The sequence below is a fragment of the Homo sapiens genome, chromosome X, assembly GCF_000001405.40.
Source record: "Homo sapiens chromosome X, GRCh38.p14 Primary Assembly".
NCBI lineage: Eukaryota > Metazoa > Chordata > Mammalia > Primates > Hominidae > Homo > Homo sapiens.
Genome location: NC_000023.11, coordinates 13,888,119 through 13,908,952, shown reverse-complemented (window position 1 = coordinate 13,908,952; position 20,834 = coordinate 13,888,119). Strand labels below are relative to the sequence as shown.

Below are 20,834 nucleotides of genomic sequence, written 5' to 3'. Positions count from 1 at the left end.
GGGAATATAATATTTTTTTGTTCATTTTCCAACAAATATTTGTGTGCTAGCTTTGTGTTCAGTAAATCTGAAGTTTAGCCCTCACATGAAGAACGAAAATGTTTTTGTGTTAAGTATTTCTGAGGCAGACGTTTCTAAGATATGTATCTCCATATGCATGCTGAACCAAATTTGATCCATTTAAAATTTCTTTATTTTGAAATAATTTTGGATACAGAAAAGTTATAAAAATAGTACAAAGTTTCTGTTAAACCGTTCACCAAGCTTCCCCTAACCTTAACAACTTACATAATCTTAGTACAACTGTCAAAACTGGGAAATTGACACTGATAAAATGCCAGTAACTATAGCATTTACTTGGATTTCCCCAGTTTTTCTCTTTGCTGTGGCAGGATCCAATTCAGGATCTCACATGGCATTGAGTTGTCCCATCTCCTTAGTTTCCTCCAACTTGTGATAGTTCCTAAGTTTTTCCTTGTCTTTCGACTTTGACTCTTGAAGAGTACGAGTCAGGTATTTTGTAGCATGTCCCTCAATTTGGATTTGTCTGACATTTTCTCATGAGTACATTAAGGTTGTACATTTGAGGCAAAAATGCCACAGATGGGATGTTGTACCCTTTGCAGTGTGTCATATAAGGGGGCACATGATGCCAATATATCTCACTGCTGGTGATATTAATCCTGATCATTTGGTTAAGGGGGGCATCTGCAGGTTTTGATCAATTTTTTTTAAGACAATGTTTTCAGAATAGTTTCAGGTTCACAGCAAAATTAAAAGCAAGGTACAGAGATTTCCTATATACTCACTGCCCTCACACATGCATTGCCTCCCCCAAGTTTTAATGTATTTTTTATAAGTATCTTTGATAATAGATACCACTCATGTGCCATATCACAATATAAGAGTGAGATGGGAGGAATTATGCCAACACATTAAGTGGTTTCAAATAGCTGTGCTTTTGACTTTTTACATGTAATTTCCATAATTTTCTCTCTTTAATCTCATTTGTGCTCTCAGTAATGACTTCTCCCTATTTTCAGAGTTGTGCCACCAGTAGCAATTGATAAAGCGGAGAAGCTGTTATAATTGTGTGTAAAGTAAAAGTGAATAGGCTATAAATCAAGACTTGAGAGAGTCCTCTGGAAATAAAATACATTAATAGGTGTTATTTGAAGCATTTTTTTCTGCCAATTTTAAGAACGAAGTGCAATCTTCAATAGTCCATTTTAACATTAAACAAACCTGGATTTGAATCTATAAGTTTGTTTTTGTTTTTTTAGAGACAGAGTTTCGCTCTTGTTGCCCAGGCTGGAGTACAATGGTGTGATCTCGGCTCACTGCAACCTCCGCCTCCCGGGTTCAAGTGATTCTCCTGCCTCACTGGGATTACAGGCATGCACCACTACACTTGGCTAATTTTGTATTTTTAGTAGAGACGGGGTTTCACCATGTTGGTCAGGCTGGTCTCGAACTCCTGACCTCAAGTGATCCACCCACCTCGGCCTCCCAAAGTGCTGGGATTACAGGCGTGAGCCACTGTGCCCAGCCGAATTTAACTATAACTTTAAATGGTTAAGAGTAATTTGTAAAGTCAGACGAACCTGGGTTTAAATCCTGGTATTACCCCTCACTAGCAAATTATTTAGCTTTTCCAAGCCACAGTCTCTACAACCAAAAAACCATCTCTTGGGTTGTCATAAAGAGTAAATGAAAAGATGTAGGGAATGTGCTAGGCACTGTGTCAGTACATGGGAAGTACCCAATCAATGTCAGTTGCTGTCTTTGATATTATCCCCCATAGGGCTTTTGTGGTCGCTTAAGAGTTGACAGAGCACAAAAGGATAAATAATTAGCTTTACACCCTAATTAATCTGTAATTGTGCTGTAGGACTACCAGGAGACACAGAAACAGAAAAAGCATAGAGACTATTTTGTATATTTATTCCATCATATTTATGTGTAGTTGAGATCATTCTAAAGTTAGTGGTCTTGCTTTTATGACCATCATTCCTGAATCAATCTGGAGATGACCGGAGAACACAAGAGCATTTTGCCCCATAACTACCACATAATTTACTAGTAAAAGAGGGATCTGTTGAGATTAGCTTATGAAAATTGTCCTTTGGAGTCAAGTTTGGGAATATCTGATCATTAAAAAGAGTTTATGAACTTGGGTGATTTTTCCTTCCCAATAATTCTTTGAAGTACTAGATATTTCTAATGAATTTGAGCCTAAAATATGAAGATCATATAGGCTAGACATTTCTTTTAAAACCCATAAAAATCCTATATTTGCTCTATGTCTAGAAAGGTAAGGTCTAGTTAGGTTGTGGTTTGAAAGATATGAGTTACAACATGAGTGATATAGAGTACATCCATTGAGTTTAAAATTTCATCTAATCACAATTATTTCAAACTGATAATCTTTTAACAGCCTAGCTCTATGGGTAGCCGTTAAAGAAAAAATGTATCAAATCTCCAATACTTAGTGACCAGTAGAGTCAAATTCAGCTATCCTCCCCACCCCCTTCCCCCAATAGGGACATGGTGTCCTAGAAACAGCCAGACCTATACTGGATTCCATTTTAGTGCTGAGCCTCCAAAATGGGTCTTTAGAATTAAATTTGGCTATTAGCCCAGACTTACTCAAATTTGTAACAAGCAGTGCTTTGTATTTCAGCATGCTCCCTAGCCCCCAACTTTGTAACTGGTTAGGGGAGGGGAAGTGGGAGGAGGTGCATGAACAAAAAACAAAAGCAGCTGCTGGAGAGAAAACCCAGTGAAAGGGGGTGAAGAAAAACAATTCGGCCACAACAGCTGTTCAGATTCTCAAAAGAAGAAGCCTTCACTTTACATTTGATCTCTCTAAAGTTTTTGAAGGTTTCGAGATGTTCTTTATTTGGGGAGAAATGAAATGAAGTCTATGAAGCTGGTGGATTAATGTATAAATGAAATTGATTTAGGAGACCAGTGACTCTTGAATTAACACAGCCCTTGCCTCTTTTTACAATTCTGAACTATTGTTTAATATTCAGCATCAAGATGGATTCAGAGGGTTTTTTTTTTTAATCCCATTGTGTCACGAATGGAGGATATAACTGGCTCAGACCAAATCTTCTCACATCCAAGATCAAATAGGGGTTTTTAAGCTTATGGCAGTAGAATAACAAGTACATGTGGTACAAGGCTAGGAAACTGGGAAGGCAGGCAGCAGTAGAACCTTGATCTATCTTGTGGGAAGCTCTTATGATAGCTAATTACACATATTGCTGGTCTAAAAAATCAGAATTACCCAGGCAACATGGAAGAGGCAGAATGGTTGGCTGGACTAGAAAACTCCTTCTTGGAGGCGGTCATCTTCATGTTGTACTAGAAAACTCCTTCTTGGAGGCGGTCATCTTCATGTTGTACAGATGGCCTACGTATGTGCAATATTTACATCATTGCGTTTCTTAGCACCACGGGCGAGTTTGGCATTTTACAAGGTAGCTCACTCTGAAAGGTAATTTTATCATAGTATTTAGGAAATATTCCACGTCAGCCACTGAGTTTAAGAAACTGTGTGAAGAACTAAAATTCTTCATAGAGCCACATTTGAGTATGGAATGATTTGGTATGCTGGAGGCCATAGCACATCTTTGAACATCAAATAATTGGATTTTTTGAGCATCAAATAATTGAATTTTTCTTTTCTTTTCTTTTCTTTTTTTTTTTTTTTTGAGACAGGGCCTCACTCTGCTGCCCAGTCTGAAGTGCAGTAGCATGATCACAGCTCACGGCAGTCTTGACCTCCTGGGCTCAAACGATCCTCTTACCTTAGTCTCTCGAGTAGCTGGGACTACAGGCGTGCACCACCATGCCTGGCTAATTTTTTAATTGTAGAGATGAGGTCTCGCCATGTTGCCCAGGCTGGTCTCAAACTCCTGGGCTCAAGCAATCCTCCTGCCTTGGCCTCTCAAAGTACTGAGATTATAGGTGCGAGCCACCACATCTGGCGTGATTTTTCTTGAAGGCAGATGTGGGCCTGAACTGGAGGAAGCCTGCTCTGAGCCTCACTCTATCTTGATCCCAGAAATAAATTTATTGTATAGCCTTAAGTTTTAGAGAGTTCAGGACACCTAGAGGATGGTTGTGGTGTAAACTGCTTGCCTGGTCAAACCTTAAGGATCTGCTTGGACTCTTCAGGACACATACCCCGAGAGTGTCAGGCCTGAGCCCCAGCTGGTCCCAGAGGTTTAATTCCTAGCACACCTAGTTTGTCTAACGTAGGGGTCTGCAAACTGTGTCTGCAAAGAGCCAGATAGTGAATATCTGTTGCAAGTAAACGGTGTTGTCGTAGTACAAAAGCAGCACTAGATGATACGGAAGTGAATGGGTGTGGGGCTCTGTGTCGATATAATTTGATTTGTGCTATAGTTTGCTAACCCCTGATCTGGAGAGAGGGCTCCCAAACAAGTGAGTCCACATGCCTCCAACAGGACTGTGGGGGATAGAACTCAGGAGGGATTGGGATAGGAAAAAAAATCTATCTGTATTGTCACTAACCTCTAACTGAAACAGCGTTTGTTCTCTTACGAATACAGGCAGCAAACCAGTGACTTAGCAATACTTGTGACTTTGGTCATTAATAGAAATCAAAGGTAATTTCATATCCCATTACAGTTATTGCAGGTATCTCAAAATATCATTAAACTCATCACTACTTTGGAAGTGTATGTTATACCTCCACTAGCATTAACAGAACATATGTATTCTACATTTATATAAAATTAAATGATTACATATATTTATTATATATTATGTATTTCAAACTTGTTTTTTATTTTGATGTATTTCAATTTAGTTTTCTTTCTAATGCTATGTATATTTTTTCGTGCATTTAAGAACATTGTTCTGTAAAGGAGATCTGGAGGGTTCAGCTGACTGCCCAGGGAGTCTAAGAAGCCCTGTCTAACTGGTGTCTTCATAATGGGGAGAACCTCCCCTTCCTCAAATGATCCTATCCCTCTCCTCCCAGCCACTGAGGGGCAGTCATCTCTAGCTCTACGGAGATGCCCCCACCCCATTTTCCCATATCATATTCCACCCAGCCTTCAAAGCCCTGCATGAGTCCACCTAGTCCTTTGTTCCTCTGGCTCCACCACCCTGGCTGCCAGACACAGGCATTCACCCCCGGCCCGTCTCATGGGGTGTTCTATTTGTTTAGTTTATGTTTCAGCCCTAGTGAGAGTCAGTTCTGGAATCCAATGGATCTGTGATTCCTTGTTGGAAGGAACCACTTCTCTTGCGCTGAGTAACGCATTGGTGTTGGATGACGGTGTTCATGATGACGAACTTATGCTGTCCTGACCATGCCTGGAGACTGGCCCTGCATTGGAGAAGATCCAAGAGTCTGCGTGGTAAAATGATAATGAACGTGAGCTTAGGGGCAGAATGCTGATGTGTTTATTCTGCTAACTATGTGCTTTGGGCAAGTGCCTATACTTATTCTCCCTGAGCTTCAATTTCCTCATTGGTAAATTGGGGATTATACTTACCTTTCAGGATGACATCAAGAGTAAATAATATACTGACTCTAAGAAAAGTGCCTGGAGTGGTGCCTGGTGCATGGCAAATGCTCAGTACCTGTGAGGTAGTATTTGCCTGGGCTGGTTGATGGTTGGGCGCTGGGGGTTAGCCTGGTATAAATCGAGATTTTGAGGTGGTCCTGTGAACCCAAAGATGCCTTGAGACCCTGCGTGGGAGACAGATGGAAGGAGATGTCTAAGCCTGGTGTCAAGGTGCTCTCACCTTGCAGAATCACAGTGGGCTGTGGTGGACCAGGAGAAGACCCCTTAACAAAGTATGGGAGTGAGTCTGTCTAAGTCAGCTAGCCCTTAATGAGGTCCTCCTCGAGTGAAGCTCTGATTCTGACACCCATGTTAGGTTGTGGTCATTTCTAGGACCCAGGGTCCAGCCCCAGAGATTCCTAGATAGTTCTAGGACCATCTGGTGGAATCAAACTATGGATAGACCCATTAATATCCAACTGGGTCCTCTTTCGTTGAGTCTCCCGCCCTCTTGAGGGAGACTGATCTTTAGTAACTTCTTTATGAGACTGGGTCAGGTGGGCCTCCTGTTGTTGTCTGTGGTGCTGCAGGTCATGTGCTTTGGTGGGCACCAGTAACTGTCATTGGAATTGCCAAGGTGGTGGGAATAAAGAGAGATGGGCTTCTCTGTGATTGAATTGAAGTTTGGTTGTGAGTGTGGGTCATGAGCCCTGACCGGGTAGGAGACAGAAGCCTGTGGTTCTTCTCCTGGTTTCCTTAGGGATTTTCAGCTGGCTCTTGGGCAGCTCCTTCAGGTGGTAGCTGTTGTGGCAGAATAGAAGAGTGCTGGACTGAGGAGCAGAGACCTGGGTCTCATGAGATCATGAGATCAAACCACTTAAACTCTGTGTGCTTAAGTGACTTCGTTGGCAATAGAGTAATACCCTCCCTGAAGAATAAATGAGGCGATGTTGAGAAAGCATTTTATGAGCAAGCCATTTTCATTAATGCAATGGGGGAAACATGCTATGTCTAGCTTAGAGGGCTGAAACGGTCAAATGAAATAATCAACGTAAATGCTAAAAAAAAAAAATCCAGTCCACATTTATGGAATTGCCTTTATTGACAAATTGAGCGAGGGTAAACATTCGTGTATTTAAGGCATGGAGTGTTTCCCAGTTGCTTTTGAAGGTACCCATTGTCACAAAGGAGTAAAGACCTTACTAAATGGGATCTTATTTGTATTTCTGTAGCAAAGGATTTTTGTTAAAGAAGATTCAAACTCAGAGATGGTAGACTGAGTCTGCCAGGAAAACCACACACTTATACTCCTGTTCCATAGTCAACTAATATTCTGCTTCTGCTACAAACTTAATGATCATATAGGAATTATGAATTTAGACCAACAAATGCCAAAACTTGAACTATACAAGTGTATAGTTTTAGTGTAACTTTGTGTTGTCACTTTTTGCTTCTATGTGACACTTAGCAATTCTTTTTTTAAAATAAAACAACATTAGAGGTCATTTAATTGTAATGACAAATAAAATCAGCAGGTAGACTTAGGATTTCAAAGCATCTCTTTCTTGGTTGGGAAAGCTCCCTGGAGGTCCAACTTGTAGTCCTAGGTTGAGTAGGGATCAATAGGAGAATTTACTGAAGGGGCCCTATGCTCAGTTTCACCAAGTTCACAGCCAGGTTCTTATGATCTGCATCCTTCAGGTACAAGTGTGTGTTCTCTACTCCAGTAGCAGACTTGAACCCAGAGTCCCCAGTACAAGGAAGCACATATTTTTGGATTTTGCCGTGTGACCTTGTCTGGCTGGCTGGACTTTAGGAACAACTGGTCCTCATCCCTGGCAGGTTTAGGGGGAGAGTGAAACCAAGTCAGATGACTCTGAAGCTCCTTCAAACACCACGACAGAAGGAATGGATTGAGCAAGAATAATTTTTATAGACTTGGAAGTTTGAGTCCTTTTTTTTTAAAAAAAAAAACAAGGAAGTGGGGCATTCCAGATGGTAACACAAGAAACCAGGGAGATGAGAGCAGATGAAACCTTGAGGGAGAAAATGAAATTCTCTCTGAATTAGGAGAAGCGGCTGCTTTCCCTCACATCTTCCTGTGTCTGTAACTAGCTTAGTGTTTGGGATGCTTATTTTCTATTTTCTCTGCATTTTTTTAGCTGCCTCAGTGACCACTTGACCATTTATGCCGAGGCAGTAGTGGATGTTTCCAATTCAGTGCTCCTTACCTCTTAGAAAGAGAAGGATTATGCTTTCTTCATGATTGTGAGTCAGTCTATGTTCAGATTTACATTCAACTAATATTTTTCAAATATTGGCCCAGATAATTTCAAGATATGCTATCTGATCCTCAAAACAATCTTATAAATGAGGCTCAGAGAGGCAAAGGGACATTGCAAGTCATACAGGGGTTTGCATATAGCCTCCTCTCTGTAAGTCTAGAACCATCTCTGCAGCTTCCTCCTGCGTTCACCATGTTGTGTGACTTTTGTAAATACTTGAACTCTATGGAAACTCAGGAATGATGTGAAATGTTATTAGTTGGAAGCCTTGTCAGAGAAAAATGGGCTAGAGAGTTCCGTTTGCAGGCTTGAGACTATAGTTGATGGGTCTGATTCTGAATTAAAACATCCTTTAGAAAATAGATCCCGCTTTTTTTAGAGACTATCCAAGATTTAAAAGTTAAGCAGCTTTGGAATATAGCAGGCAGATAGTTCTCCTGTAATGCTTGCTTTGAAACCATGAACAATGTGTGCATAATCAGAATCTTGGATTTGCTTAATACCATTTTTTCTTGCTGAAACATTAGGTGAATGCAGAAAACTGCGCCCACCTGAACTACATGACGTCAGAATACACAAAACACGCACGTGGCACAACCTCATATGTCTACAGCTACCTCAGTTTACCCCGCGTGTTAAGAGCCACACCTGTCCATACCTGGTGTTATGACTGTCCCTCCAATTTCGGGTAACCCTCCCTCCAGCCCTTCCCAGTAACTCACCAACCGCAGCCCTTCCGACACCCACCCCACAGCCAACTTCAGGCCTTTTTCTAGGCGAAGTGACACATTTATTGTTGTGTTTATGTATTTCTTAACTATTTAATGTGTGTAAAATGGTGCTACTATTTTTATTAGGTTGCAATCTTTTTGTAAATGTCACTGATTAAATTTTTGAGTGTTGCTTTCCTAACCCCATTTTTCCCATAAGCCCTGTGTTTTTTATTGTGCATTTTGCAAAGAGTGATGATTTTTAGGACCACCTATGAGGCATTACCGAACAAGTGACTGTGTGAAGCTTTTGGACTAAACCTTCCATCTAACTTCACTCTATTAAATGAGTTATTTTCAGGATAAGACAGTCTCATCTATTTACAAATACTTTATCATATAATGAAGTTCTACTTATGATTTATTCAGAATCCACACAAGAAGGCGTAGATTTGCTCAAGGAACAAAATTAATGACATTTTAAAATCTTACAACTGGAGAGGATGATTAATGGGAAAAGAGCTAACATTTCATGAAAACTAGCTTTATGCCAGGTCCTGTTGGATGCCTTCCAATAATGACTGCATTTCATTCTCATGTCAACCTGTTCGGGTGGTAGGGAATTTTGGCATGGAGAGAGTGAAAGTTGCTCAATGTCCGTACAGCTCCTAAGTGACTGGGCTGCGAGTCACCACTGAGGAGCAGCCCATCTGGAGGTATGATCACAGCAACATGGGCTCCAGACTGTTCTTGGTCCTTGTTGTTCATCGTCTTTCCCATTCCATACTTGCGTGTTTCTGTCTTCTGACACAAATAGACTACTAGTGGGTTCCTGTGGGTTGCTGCTGACAATCCATCCATTTACCCAGGCTACATTTTTGTATCCATTTTTTTCAACCTTTTAATTTTTTATCACCCCACAACCTGGGAGACTTTTTAAGCATTTTTTTTCCTAATTGCCTCCCTATGCAATCTTTTTTTTTTTTTTTTTTTTTTTTTTGAGACAGAGTCTCGCTCTGTCATCCAGGCTGGAGTGGCACCATCTCGGCTCACTGCAACCTCTACCTCTTGGGTTCAAGTGATTCTCCTGTCTCAGCCTCCTGAGTAGCTGGGATTACAGGCGCCCACCACCACGCATGGCTAATTTTTGTATTTTTAGTAGAGATGGGGTTTCACCATGTTGGTCAGGCTGGTCTTGAACTCCTGAGCTCAAGTGATCTGCCCACCTCAGCCTCCCAAAGAGCTGGGATTACAGGCATGAGCCACCATGCCCAGCCCCTATGCAGTCTTAACACCCCAGATACACTGCATATCTGTCTATGTGCTGTGTGTATATTTGTGCTTTATATGCATTAAAGAGTAAAGTTGTTTTTGCCCCTCAAGAAGTCATTTTCATCCTATTGGGGTGATCTTGCCTGTGTTGAAAAGGCATGTTCTGTATCTTCAGTTATTTTTAATATGTAGATCCGCTTTTAAAATTAGTATCATGCTACCTTAGAAGCATATACCTGAGTTTGTGAAGACAAGCCCCCTTGTCTGGGCTGTGATTCCTAGTATCTTATGATGAGCCCGACAGGATGACACAGCCAGGTGACTCACATAGAGCTAAGCTCTGTGAGAAAGCGAGGCCTCAGAGGTAGCACATGATTTCCCTTCTTCCAGTTTCTCTATATAAAGAAATAAAGAGCACACATCAAACCAAACATAAATGGAAAGAAATCAATGGTTGAATGACACATGATTCTGGCTTGTCAGCCCTAGTTGGCACCTTTCGCTCCAAATCATCATCTTTCTAAGATACTAAATTATAGATTCCAACCAAGGTGATTAGTGCTGCTCACACTTTAATGTGCATTGGCATCACCCATGAATCTTGTTAAATTGCAGATTCTCATTCAAGTAGGCCTGGGATTCTGCATTTCTGACAAACTCCCAGGTAATACAGCCACTGCTTGGTCCCAGAACCATACTTTGAGCAGCAGTAGCCTAAGAATACACAGAGGCAATTAAAACTAGCTCTCAAACTATTTTAAGAATTTCAGAAAGCCGAAAGCAGTGGTTCTCACTCAGAAGCGATTTGTTCCCCAGGGGCCATTTGGCAATGTCTTGCAGACATTTTTGGTCGTTATAACTAGAGGATGCTACTGACATCTAGTGGGTGGAGGCCAGGGATGCTGCTAAATAGTCTACAATTCACAGGACAGCCCCCATCAGAAAGAATTATCTGGCCCAGAATATCCATTGTGCTGAGGTTGGAAACCCTTGCCTAAAGGAAATCACACACTTACTCCCAGTAAAGCAGCATGGACAAATACAGATACCCTCTCTCCTTGGCAAGAGTGATATTCAATTCAATGTGATAGCCCCAAATAGTTTGTAGTGGTCAAGCTCTGCAGTTGACATTAATAGATTACTCTAACTGATATGGGGAAGTAAGTTAATTGTAATATAAAGAAATGCAGTTAAGCAGATTAAAAGGAAAACACTTTTGGAGTCATGAGCTGTCAGAGGAGATTTACATGTAGCAAAGGAGACCCTGCTGGTTGAAGGATGGGAATGCCTGTCCCTTATTGGGCAGGAATTGGGTGGGCTGACCAGGCTGTGTACGCCTGGCTGGCACTGTTTATTGGAGTGGTGTTCGAGCGAGCCCATCTGGACATTTTTGGAACAAACTTGGGACATTCCTTTGGCCTTCTGAATATGACTTGCAGCTGGGTAGGGAAGTAGTGCAATATTATCCACAGATTGAAGATTCTTTCAAACAACAGAAATAATCAAGAATTCACTGTGGAGGATTTTCCCCTCCAGAGAGTAACAGATAGATTGATGCGTAGATCTAGGTATGCTTATTAACAAACCATTCCTGTTTCATGGGATGTACATGTGGCAGCATCTGGATTATTTAATGTGTTAATATAGTCAGTTTGTATATGAATAATTTAAAACAGTAGCAAGAGATAAAAGTAGCTCATCTGAAGAAGGGTTGTTTGAGAGCTTTTTTTCTGTCAAGTATAATTTTACTCTCAGGTTAAATGAAATTTATTAAGATGCAATTTGCTCCTGGGAGGTATTTGTGAGTTTAACCACAGTCTGTCTTGGAAGATATTATGACAGTAAGTAAATGTCACCTGGATAATACTGATCCATTCACAGAAGGGAGAAAAAGTGTGTTGGGTCAATTAAGGTGGTTTAAAAATGTGTTGACTCTGAAGAAGAAAAGTATCTAAAGTACACAACTCTAACAAATCTCAAGGCCAGTGGGACTTTACAGACTGAGCCCAATTGTGTTGAGTCTGTGTATTGTATATACTTAACACAAGCAAACACAGACTTTTTCTACAAATGAAAACATGTCTGCTGAGCAGTTGACTCAGTCATCTGGAATAAATGTTCTTTATTTGTGTTTCCATGGGTAAAATCAAGTTAATGAACTGAACCATCACAATTTCTCTTATTTAATTTTTAAAACTCTAGATTACCCTGTCTTCTATCTCTATGTAATTCCTGTGTTAGAGCAAACATAGGAAATTGTCAATATGGCAGAGTGCGGTGGCTCATGCCTGTAATCCCAGCACTTTGGGAGGCCGAGGCAGGTGGATCACCTGAGGTCAGGAGTTCGAGACCAGCCTGGCTAGCATGGTGAAACCCCGTCTCTACTAAAAATACAAAAATTAGCTGGGTGTGGTGGCACACACCTGTAGTCTCAGCTACTTGGGAGGCTGAGGCAGGAAAATCACTTGAACCTGGGAGGCAGAGGATGCAGTGAGCCGAGATCACACCACTGTGCACTCCAGCCTGGGCGACAGAGCAAGACTCTGTCTCAATTTGAAAAAAAAGAGAGAAATTGTCAATATGGGGCCATGTTTTACCTACAAAACTAGCAATTTCATGTTGTTCTGTCTAATATTACTTAGGAACATTTTAATTCTTGCATTAAAAAGTAGCTTTTATAAGCATGAGGGTTAATATCTAGGCATAATGTGTTTTCTGAACAGCTGGCTCTGTTTTTCGTCTCTGTGCAGGATATGATTTCACACCAGTAACCCTTCAACTTGGGGTGACACCTTTCATAGGAGTCATGGTAGTTCTTTCTGTTATTTTTCTAGCCATATGGAGGTCTCATTTCTCTTAATTCTTAAAATGATGGACTACCTGTCTTCTAGCTGTATATTATTTACTTTTTTGTTCATAAGCACCATACTTAAGATTTTTTTCTTTTATTTTTAAGGAGAAAAAAAGGCTGCAGTGAGCTATGATTATGACACTACACTCACCCAGGATGGAGTGCAGTGTCATGATCATAGCTCACTGCAGCCTCGACCTCCTGGGCTCAAGAGATCCTCCTGCCTCAGCCTCCCAAATAGCTGGGACTACAAGTGTATGCCACCACACACGGTTAATTAAAAAAAAAAAAAAAAAGTTTTTCTAGCAACAGTGTCTCACTATGTTGCCCAGGCTGGTTTTGAACTCCTGGGCTCAAGTGGTCCTCCCATCTGGGCCTCGCAAAATGTTGGCATTACAGGAGTGAGCCACCATGCCCAGTCCCATATTTAAGATTTTTCTAAAGCCCTAATTTTAAGATTTTCAAAAATGCTAATTGTATCCTACTGTTTCTGCCCCAAGAACCAGACACCTAGATCTCAAGATATGGACAGGTATTTATTGGAAAGAAATGAGGATTTTGAGGTCATAGAAGTGTCTAAAACATCAAGATTTATTAAAATGATTTTTTACAGCTGATGTTCTAACATTCATTATTGTTTCCTATGATAGAGATACAAATTGAGTCACTTTTCAAACATACTTTACTGTTGAATACCTATAAAAATCTCATGGAACTAGCAGTCCTTAGTATACAGTCAGGAAAATTCTGTTTTACACTAGTCACTTTCCAGAAAGGTTTATTAATAACTGGCTATATAATTCTTTCCCCAGAATATGTTGTTCTTTGTGGATTTTTTCACCCCCCACCCCCAGCTTTTGGTCTATTCCAAAATACACACGGGCTTGACCTAAGAATTTTGCTAAAGGAATTATTCTCCTCTAGGGAAATGAAGCAGCATGTTTCAACACAAGCTTAGAAATCTTAAAACAACTAAAAATGAAAAAAAAAAGTACCAGGTCGTTATTATGTTCTGCAAAAATTAGATTTACGGGTTTTACTGTAGCCATTGTCAATGCCTTACTGAGGGATAGGATCATAGCAGAAAGATGCTAAGGAGCTTATGGTCCCCCTGGGCTGTTGTGATTATGTGGATATATTTAGAAGCTACAAAGAAAGCAGAGCATCAGCTGAGATGCCCCAGTAGACACTCTCAAATTCAGATCTCTCCCATTATGAGAAAAACCCTCAAAAGAAAATATTCACTTGGCAAGGAATGAAGAGCTTTTTTACTCACCAAAATGATGTCGTAATGTTTCAGGGAGAACAGTGACTGCGACTTACTTATTATTGTCATTTATATCTCCTAGGGCTGAACAGTTGTCAGAGAGGATAAGAGATAGGGGGAGTGTATGGGAGGCCTGCTTTGGTTCTCTGCTTATATAAACCTCCACATTTTAGCAGATTTATGTTTCATCCTTAAAATGAGTTAAAAACAGCAGACCCTTTTGTTGCAGATGCAAGATATAACATGTAAAGTGGTTCCATAGCAAATTGCTATTTAGAAAAGAACCCAACGTTATTTTTAACCAACTGTTTGATCTCCTGTATTCTTTCTTATGTGGTTTTATGAATTTTTGTTTCACTTGTAAATAATCGGTAGCAAATGAGTGTGTGAGGCTATGATTTAATTTGTAACAAGGTACAATAAAATACCTCAGCCTGTGACTCAACTATTTTAAGAGGACAAATATGCTAAATAGGAATATTCGTTTCTAACCCTATAGTAAATGAAATGTACCTAAGATCCATGGCTGAAAAAACCTGCCTTATACAAATTCACATAAGAGAGATCAAATGTGGTGAAGGTTGCTTGATAAACTTCTATTGTCTAGCTTGTCTGATGAGCTAGATTTCACAGTATTATGTCCAGATTTACCACAATAATACTGCATAGTTTTTTTCAAGTCTTCGATCTAAGAGGTTCTAGTTTGAAGAGGAGGGGTTCTGTGTCATTCATACAGTGGCTGTGATGCACATCCGTTTGATCTGTGGGCTCATTTAAAGGCTTAGTGGACTGAAATGTTTTGGGGTCACCTGGAGGGGATCAGTGTGTCTGGGCTTTGCTTCCCTGTCTTCCTTACGTATGTGGAAACGGTGAGTGTTGTTCCCTGAGATGTCCTAGAGAGACAACCTTTTCCCAAGTGACAGTGAGTTTCCGTCTTGGAATCAGCTTTGCTTATCCCAGGGAGGATCCAGGCCTGGCGCCAGCAAGTTCTCCCCATGAGGTCTCTGAGGATGTGGAGAGAAGGAATGCCCTGCAGAGTTTCAGCCTGTTACTCTAAACCTCCAGGCATGTTTAAGACCCCTTGGGAGAAGAGGAGGGAGACCTCCATCCGTTTACAACATCTCTGCACAGAAGGCAAATTCTCTTCTCTTGCATAGTACCCTAATGGCAAAGGCATACATGCACCAGGCTCAATTACTTTTAGTGAAGAAAATAAACCAGATCTGTGGAAGGCTTCCCTTCAGTGACTTGGGGAACTCTAGTTTATGAGTGAAAGTAAAGATACGAGCTAGTAGGTGACTTTTGGTGTATGAGCCCTTATTTGTGGGGTATTAAAAACCATGGGCTATCCAGTAACTCAGTAACTCAGGACACACACAGCATTTTGTGGTCCCTGATGTCTTTCTTCGTTTTGGCTGCTGCTTTGGCCATTCAGTCAAATTTGACCATTGGTTTTCATTAAGATTGGCCCTCAGATACAGAGCAGGGAAAAGAAATGAAATTTAAGCTTGTACATGATATAAATTGTCATCAACTCCATTAATGTGTTGGTCAGAGAGAAGGCGGAAGCCAATATTTGACAGGAAGCATGTTTTTTTTTTTTTGTAGATTCAGTGTGACCACCACACCGTCTCGTGCTTGTAGGTAATTTAATTTAACCTAGGAGGAAAATCTAGTCATTTGAGAAACTAAGATAATTAATTATATGCTTTTAAGATGGAGTTCTTAGATGTGAGATCTTGGAGATCCCTGAGACCATGTTTAAGAAATGCTACATTTGTACTGAAAATCTTTGACTTGATATTAAGTTATGATAAACACAACTGCCAATTCAGGTATGTAATTTAGGGATGAAATCTGATCATAAAATGGCCGTCTAGATCAGAGTTTGGCAAAGCATGACCCATGGACCAAATCTGGCCCGCTGTTTTTGAACAGCTCACAAGCTAACAATGGTTTTTAAATGTTTATTATGTATTTGTTTTTGAGTCATGGTCTTGCTCAAGTCACCCAGGATGGGGTACAATGGTGCAATCATAGCTCACTGTAACCTTCAACTTCTGGGCTCAAGCAATCCCAAGTAGCTGGGACTGCAGGTATGCACCACCATACCCGGTGAAGGTATTTTATTTTTGTAGAGACATGGGATCTTGCCCAGGCTGGTCTTGAATTCCTGACCTCAGTACTCCTGCCTCGGCCTCCCAAAGTGCTGAGATTACAGGTAAAGATTTTGTTATTTGCAAAGAGCTTTTCAGAGGAGGGACTAAAATGATAATTCACCCTGTATTTACTGGGTAAACAGTATTAAGACCCCAGATTTTGCCAGTAGCAGTGGCATGTGCCTGTAGTCCCAGCTACTTTGGGAGGCCAAGACAGGAGAATCACTTGAGCCCAGGAGTTTGAATCCAGCCTGGGTGACAGTGAGACCCCATCTATTAAAACAAAACAAAAAACAGATTTTGTCTGAAGAAGTGAGTATTCTTGGACTTCTCAAAATGTCAGTTTGGAGACAGTTTTGGTAGGCCACTTGGTATATAAGCATGGACAGAAATTGATTGTGTGTGTTGTATTAGGTTGGTGCAAAAGTAATTGTGGCTTTTACCATTAAAAGTAATGGCAAAACCCGCAAATATTATGATCTATGTTAGTCCATGTGAGAGCATATTTATGGAGAATACTGACATGATTTGTCAAGTTAGTAGACAAATAATGACTGAACACTCAAAGGCAACATGATTATCCTCCAGCTGTGCCTAGGAGATTCTTGATACCATTTTACTATGTCAATATTCAGCTACGTGGACAACCGCTATTGTTTTGAACGCTCGCTTTTCCTTGAGAAAGGGATTTCCAGAAAAAGAAATTCTGTCATAGCACCAAGAGCTATGCTGGACAGGAGGTTCAAATGTTCATTTTTCTGGCCCTGAAATGAAATGCTTCTTAGGTACACAATTTGCTGTCCAGGTCTAGAGCCGAGCCCAGCAAGAAACATGCCCAGTGCATGGTAGGCAGAATTTTCTGCCTGTGGACTTTCACAAGGCTGCATTGTGGGAACAGAAGCTGCTCAGATTGTTCATTGTTCTGTGACTCCTATTTGGCAGCCAGTGGAGAATTCATTATGCAGTGACTGGCATACTTTTCTTCTGTTTTTTCCCTGCCCTGAGTACAGCAGTGCATCCGTGCTCTCTGTAACCCCTTGCTTCACCCCTTACTGTTCTAATCTTCCCCTCCTTGCCTTCCTCCAGCCTCACTGCTTTGCAAAACCTAGAGACAAGCAGACTTAAATCATATGAACTGATTAGGGGATCAATTTCCCCCAATGCTGAGGAAACACACTTTGTTCTCACATTTGGGTGGGTGAGCCTGCCACCAAATATTAAACACCCACGGACACATAGCAGTGCGTCGGTTCCCCTTTTGGGGACTGCAAGCTCAGACAAATGTCCACAATGGCGAACATGCCACATTTCTCCCTCTGTGTTTCCGCCCCCAAAAGTGTGGCCTCCTGGGCTGAGAGGAAGAAAATTGAGAAGCAGCTCTTTCAAAATTACCATTTGCAGGGTTTGTTGTTGTTGTTGTTGTTGTTTGGTTTTTTTTTGGTTTCTATCTGACTTGCTTTGTAAAGCTGGAAGAAAAGATTAGCATGACTCCGAAAGCACTATTTTTTATGAATTCCAGAGCAGCAGTTCTCAACCTTTAAAATGTATTTGAATCACCTGGGGGTCTGGTTAATATGCAGATTCTGATTTGTTGGGTCTGGGGTGGGGCCAGATTTCTAATGACCTTCCGGGTAATGCTGAGACTACTGGGCCATGGACCACCACATTTGAATAGCAAGTATTAGGTTGGTGCAAAAATAATTGTGGTTTTTGCCCTTTTTTTTGAAAGTAATGGCAAAAACTGAAATTACTTTTGCATCAATCTAAACACTAGTTCAGTGGCTCTCAACCTTGGCTGCACGTTGGGATCACCTGGGGAGCTTTAAAAACTACTGATGCCAGAGCCCCACCCTCAGAGATTCTGGTTTAACTGGTCTGGAGTGTGATCTGAGCCTAGGGAGTTTTTTAAACGCCTCAGATGGTCTCAATATGCACCATTGTGGTTATATTGCAGCTTTACAGGTGTAAGAATCGGATTTGTTCTCTTAAAAGGGAAGATAAGTCTTCTTTTTGGTCCTAGGTCAATCTGAGCTGAGTTCTTCAGCCCTTGAAGAAAGAGCATCCTTCTAACTCACCAGTTCTCAACCAGGGGACATCTGGCAGATGCGTTTGGTTGTCACAACTGGAGTTGGGGGTGCTACTGGAATTAAGTGGATAGAGTCCAGGGGTGCTACTAAACATCCTACAGTGCAACAGCTCCCCACAGCAAAGAATGAAAGGGCCCCAAGTATCGATGGTGCTGAGACAGAAACCCTGGTATAGCTTACCTCACTCCTGCCCTCAAAAGGCTGGGAAGTTCAACACTTCCTTCTTCAATGACTATTGAGAGTAACTAACTAATAGTGTTACAACAAAGGGGTCCCAATCCAGATCCCAAGAGAGGGTTCTTGGATCTCATGCAAGAAAGAATTCAGGGCGAGTCCATAGAGTAAAGTGAAAGCAAGTTTATTAAGAAAGTGAAGGAATAAAAGAATGGCTACTCCATAGAGCCATTTTATGGTTGTTTCTTGATTACATGCTAAACAAGGAGTGGATTATTCATGCCTCCCCTTTCTAGACCATATAGGGTAACTTTCTGACGTTGCCATGGTATTTGTAAACTGTCATGGCGCTGGTGGGAGTGTAGCAGTGAGGACAACCAGAGGTCACTCTCATCACCGTCTTGGTTTTGGTGAGTTTTAGCCAGCTTCTTTACTGCAACCTGTTTTATCAGCAAGGTCTTTATGACCTGTATCTTGTGCCGACCTCGTATCTCATCCCGTGACATAGAATGCCTTAACCATCTGAGAATGCAGCCCAGTAGGTCTCAGCCTCATTTTACCCAGCTCCTATTTAAGATGGAGTTGCTCTGGTTCACATGCCTCTGACAATAGCACGTAGCTAATAGCATTTCTTTCATGTCTAATTCTGTTTTACAACACACTACTGTCGCAAGTATTCTGAACTGGAAAGTCAGTCTTCCTCCCCTGTAAAATTAGGCTATTGAAATACAAGCTTCCAAAGTCCTTTTCAGTTAAAAAAAAAATTATGTGATTGGCAGGGGGAATGGGGAGTAGTTATTTCATGGTTACAGATTTTCTGCTTCTGGTGATAAAAAAAAAAAAGTTCTGGAAATGGGTGGTGAGAGTTACATAACTTTGTGAATGTCGTTAATGCCACTGAACTGTAAAGTTCATGTTATGTATAGTTTACCACAATTTTTTTTAAAAAAAACCATGATTCTGAGATCATTGGTTGAACCATAAACCATATGCTTGCCTGCATCTAATGTGAAACCATCCCTGCTCCATGTTCTTAGCATCCTAGGTTCGTTTCCTTCTTGGCACTCACCGTGGCTTGAAATCACATGGATTTATGTGATTATTTGAGTATGCCTTTCCCCACTAAACTGTCAGCTTCATGAAGGTAAGAACCAAGTCTGTTTTATTCTTCATGGTACTCCCAATGCCCAGCACAGTTTTCCTGGGATTTAGTAGGCATTCCACAGATATTTGTTGGGTAGGTGGTTTTACTACTAGTACATATGTTAACCTCCCTAGGAACAGGAATTAGCCATTATCCACACATTTGTATTTAGTATCATCTGTCTCCTAGCCCTTTGCTACTGGAGGAATTGTGGAATGGAGAGGTTATGGCTAAGTACTATTTTATGATGTTATTCTCTGGGAATTGGCTTAGATTAGAATCACCTGGAGTAGTTTTATAATTATTAATGGCCACATCACAAGGATTCAGGTTCTTCAGGTTCTGTTGATCTGCGGTGGGGTTGGGCATCAGTAGTTTATAAAGGTCTCCAGTTAATTCCAACGTGCATCAAGACGGAAAACCACCGTGTAACTCCTTGCTTCTCAAAATGTCCCAGGACAAAGGCCCCAGGTAAATTGTTTGTATATTCAAGCCTGAGAAACCTACAGGTTCCTTTCTAGTTAAAAGCCCATTGTTCTAGTTGGCCTAGAGAGCTGTTGACTCCGCAATGAAGGAAAGTGTTGTATATTTCTGGAGGCAGAGAGAGGTCTGCAATGCAAAAATAGTTTACAGAGAAAGCGGTATTGTTACCATCAGAATCAGTTGTGATTCTATTTTAGATCATTGGCTTCAGAGGAAAAAGGCAAAAAAACATTTTTTTTCTACTTCATTTCTAGTCTTGGTTTTTCACCACCAAACAAAACAGGAAAAAAAAGGGGGTGGGGGTTGGTGGTGGCGAGGGACTGCAGGAACCAAATGGATAGAATAAAATAGTCTTGTCTCATGCAGAAGAAAAATAAAAGACAAGTTACATCTTTTTCTGCTAGAGAAAAGAATGTATTTCCTGTTTGCCCTCGCCGAGAGCCTGGGCATAATGCGGCAGTGTGCACAGAGCCGCTGAACAAAGAATACAGAAATGGCTGAGAGGACAGAGTTTGAACCGCCAAATACTGGCTCAGTTAGAAACCATGTGACAGATGCAGCTTCTGATTTCATTTACTAGGGCGAAACAGAAATGTGTAAGTGTTTCTCTATATCCTCGGAGGCTTTGAGTGAAAGAAAATGGAAGGTAATTAATTTTCCCTTCCAGAGTTTTGCATGTACATTGGAAGATCTGTTATGATTGAAAGCCTTTTAAATACCAAGCTTGTTAACCAAATGGCTTCTGCAAGAAAGTGGGCTTTATAATAAGCCCTGGCTGCATAAAGAAATGTTCCCAAACCATGACGTTTTCCGTTGGTGTTTATAACATTCCATAGATTATGTGAGATGC

The 20,834-nt window shown here is 40.9% G+C and overlaps 1 protein-coding gene across 5 annotated transcripts in view; it reads left to right on the top strand.

Annotated features, from left to right (window-relative positions):
* GPM6B (glycoprotein M6B) overlaps positions 1–20,834 on the top strand; it is a 167,700-nt gene that overhangs the window by 29,686 nt on the left and 117,180 nt on the right. The window contains exon 1 of one of the 5 annotated variants that reach the window (XM_047442007.1): positions 3,072–19,972. The exons of the other annotated variants lie outside the window; for them this stretch is intronic. The gene's annotated coding sequence lies outside the window, so the exon portion shown is untranslated. Of the gene's footprint in view, positions 1–3,071; positions 19,973–20,834 lie in introns of those variants that run through there. 5 annotated transcript variants of the gene reach the window in all.